This window comes from Homo sapiens, chromosome 15, assembly GCF_000001405.40.
Source record: "Homo sapiens chromosome 15, GRCh38.p14 Primary Assembly".
In the NCBI taxonomy this organism is placed as follows: Eukaryota; Metazoa; Chordata; class Mammalia; order Primates; family Hominidae; genus Homo; species Homo sapiens.
In genome coordinates this window covers 69,138,029-69,141,592 of record NC_000015.10, presented here as the reverse complement: position 1 = coordinate 69,141,592, position 3,564 = coordinate 69,138,029, and the positions used below count along the sequence as shown (strand labels likewise).

At 45.1% G+C, this 3,564-nt stretch overlaps 1 annotated feature.

Moving 5' to 3' along the window:
- Positions 2,307–2,808: an enhancer, noted in NCBI's record as "NANOG hESC enhancer chr15:69431124-69431625 (GRCh37/hg19 assembly coordinates)". NCBI's record gives its function as "activates a minimal SCP1, AML or CMV promoter by ChIP-STARR-seq in naive H9 embryonic stem cells {active_cell/tissue: H9 hESC(naive)}" and the evidence as "EXISTENCE:reporter gene assay evidence [ECO:0000049][PMID:30033119]".

The following is a 3,564-nucleotide window of genomic DNA, read 5'->3' as shown; positions in this document are numbered from 1 at the left end:
TTGGGACCCTGGCACTCTTCTAGAAGTGGACCATGCCTCATGAGTCATTGGCCTCTGTATAAATAATTCAACCCTATTATTATTTAGCACTCTGTGGTCACTGCTGGAGACCTGCCAAAGTCAGGCCAGGCCTCTGTGGCACTGAGGGGCTCTTGTGGGCTCCCCGGCAGGCTCAGCCTTCAGCCTTGATTTCCATTAGTTCAGGATGGAGGAGAAAGGGCACATCCTCGAAGCTCCCAGGGTTTTGCATTGTGACTTCGAGAAAATCAAAGGGCATAATTAGTTTGGGCTAAAGTACACAGGCATTTGACATTTTGAAAAATAGTTTTATGACATTTCTTTGATAGGTCTGGACCGAAGGCAGCTGCTTATACTTTAGGGAGGTGACAGAAAAGAAGAAGGAGAGACAAAGCAAGTGAGGAACCTAAGTATTTTAACAATTCTCCCTTATGTTTACAGAGTGCTTTACACTTTTCAAAGAAGCTTTACATTCATTACTAAATTATTTGATTTTTATAGTAACTCAGCAAGGGAGGGCAGAGGGTAAAGAAACTCTGCCACTTACTAACTGGATAAGCCTTGGCAAATTAACTTCTCTGAGGTCAGTTTTCTCTTCTTTGAAATGGGGATATCATCTGCAGGCTTGTGTTGACAGTTAAAAGTAAACGTAAAGGCAAACGTAAATGAAGCCCCTGGCATAGCTGCTAGCACAGAGTAGATGCTTACTAGTCCTGAGTTTCTGTCTCCTCCCATTATATAGATGAGAAAACTAAGGAGAGAATCGTAATGTGAGTCCATAAAGGGATAGGAAACATGTCTGAGTATGCTTGGTTCAGGGATTTTTTTTTTTTTTCTGCAACAGGTAGATTCTCAAGAAAGGCTATTTCACAAAATAAAACAAAACCCTGCTTGGCACATTTGCCCCTAAGTTCCACGCTGGTGGTACAGTTGGGATGGATTGTGGGGCTCCTACCTAACAAGCAGGGCAGGAGGCAAGTGGGAGGAGAGAGACTCACGTGGAAGACATCCGCCAGGCAGACAGGCGAGGGGAGAAGGAAGCGCGCGGTGCGTCTGGCTTCAGACAGTGCGTCTCCTCTGCCAGGTTTGCGGTGGAACACTCTGGCACAGGGCACAGAATGAAAAGCATCCAGAGCTGGAGAAAATTCCATACGTCAGCCCGACACAAGCCTGGGAGGACCTGCCACAGCAATGCCTCACAAAATCAGGCTGGAAATTATCTCGACAGATTGCATGAAATGAATAAGATGAAATCCCAAAGGGCTAAACCCAGGGTCATGCGTTGGGTTCCAACATCCAACAGCATAAAGCACTGCATGAGAAAGACTGACATGAAAGTAGAAGACGCGTTCTATTTACCCTCGAAATGGCTGCCAATCAGGAGGCAGCCTGGTGTTTTAGAAAGAGCACTGGATCAGGAGTTAGGAGTCCCCGCTGTGCCCTACTCCACACAAGCTATGAGCCTTTTCACAGTCCCTTGATCTCTCTGGGCCTCAGTTTCCTTTCCTGTAAAATTAGTAGATTGGACTAGCAGATAATCCTAGTGGGTTATTTTAACCTTAACATATAACGCTATTTTATTTTATTCATGTCAAGAAGACTTGGTAGTTTTATTTGGCTCTAAGTTCAATAAGAGCTAGCAGTATGTAAATCGTAGTTAATGAAAACTTAGGGTGCACAAGTAGGAATAGAGTGGTCACTTAAAACCAGGCAATAACCCAGCTGACCTCAATTGCTGGGCAGCTCTCTTTGTAGTAGTCAGTTTGGGGGAATGGGGCACATTTTGAGGGGTCTCTAGAAAAACTAGAGGCTGTCCAGAGAAACATCTTCAGGATTGTGAGAGGTCAAATTTGAATTTGGAAAAGCTGAGAAACTGGAAATATTTATCCTCAAGAAAATCCTGAAAAGGAACATAATAGCCATAATTCTAAAATCTGAAAGGCTGCAGCTCAAAAGATGAATCAGGATTATTCCAGGCTCTAACTTATGCAGTCCAGACAACGTGGGTCAACTTGAGCTGAACATATGAACGTGCCTTCGTGGGGCAGGACAGGAGGCTCATGAAGCAGAGAGAGCAGGCTGTTGCTGGAGGTGAGGGCCACGGTGAGGGACCAGCTTCTGAGACGCTGTGGATGGGACACCCATGCTGGGCTCTGGATAACCAGAAGCACCCCAAGATCTCTTCTAATTCTGCATTCTGAGGATTCAGATGAGGAAGGAGCAGGGGAGACTGAAGATGAAGCAAGAAGCAGGGCGAAGGGAGGTAGCGAGCAGAGAGTGCCTGTCTCTGCAAATGCCATATTAATTATGTGGCCACTGCAGGCAACCTGTTAGACCAATTAACAAAGAACAAGAGGCAAAACAACATGGGGTTTGGAGGTGGGTTGACCTTCACAACCTGAAGATGGGGCTACTGATCAGGATGGGAGCAACGGGTCAGCAGAGCTCAGTGTTTGCTGGCTTCTGTCCACTTTGTCATTTAGATGTTGGACCCCAGAGAGCAGGGATCTTGCTTAGATCTTTGTGTTTCCCCATCAGTTAGCTTCTGGCACCACATCAGACACACCACCGGTGCTCAATAAGCATCTTGTCAAGTGACTGCATCAATGGACAAAGGAACAGCTGGAGCTCAATAAACAGTTATTGACTCAATTAATTAATGAATTAATTAATGGAAAATTGACCCAGCTTTTCATTCTGATCTCAAGAGAGTGAAATTATGAGAAAGGAACCTCACAATGGAGCCAAAGATGGGGTTGATGAGAACTAAGGAAGAAAAAATATTTGAAGGAAGGAAAAGAGAGAGGGTGGGGAGGAAACAAAATGCAAATAGTAATCAGTATTACAGGACCATCAATGCTGGCTTGCAGGGTGGCACACCATCCATCCATTCATTTACCCACCTATCCATCTGTCCCTCCTTCCTTCTGTTAATTCATTCTTTTGACCAAACTTTTTTGAGGAACTACCATCATACCAGCCTGTACTAGAGACCATGGAGGACACAATGAGACATAAAATCCACGTACTGCTTCTAGGGTCTATACCTTCTAGCTATAGAGGAGAAACCAAAGTGTGTTTTTCCTATTCTCTGCTCACCACAACACAGCACAGAATACTTCTGTGACCCCAGATGTGTGGAGGTATTTCTCCATACACCAAGCCATCTGTAGCAGACGCCAGCTGGGTGTCCTCTAATTCAATTCAGTGCCACACTATTACCTGGAGAGAGTGCCAGATCCCATAAGACTGCCCCCCATTTCAGATACCAGTCACAAGCCCCAGGCTGTTTGCCTGTGCTTCTGACGAACCTACTATAAATCCAGGTTCCCATGACTCCCTCCTTGGGTTTGATTAATTTGCTAAAGAGGATCATAGAACTCAGGGAAAGACTTTACTTACATTTATCAATTTATTATAAAGGATGTTACAAAGCCAGATGGAAGAGATGCTTAGGGAGAGGTATGGCTGAAGGGGCATGAACTTTCTATGCCTTTTCTGGGTAGACCACCCCTCAGGAGCCTCCACATGTTCAGCTCTCTGGAA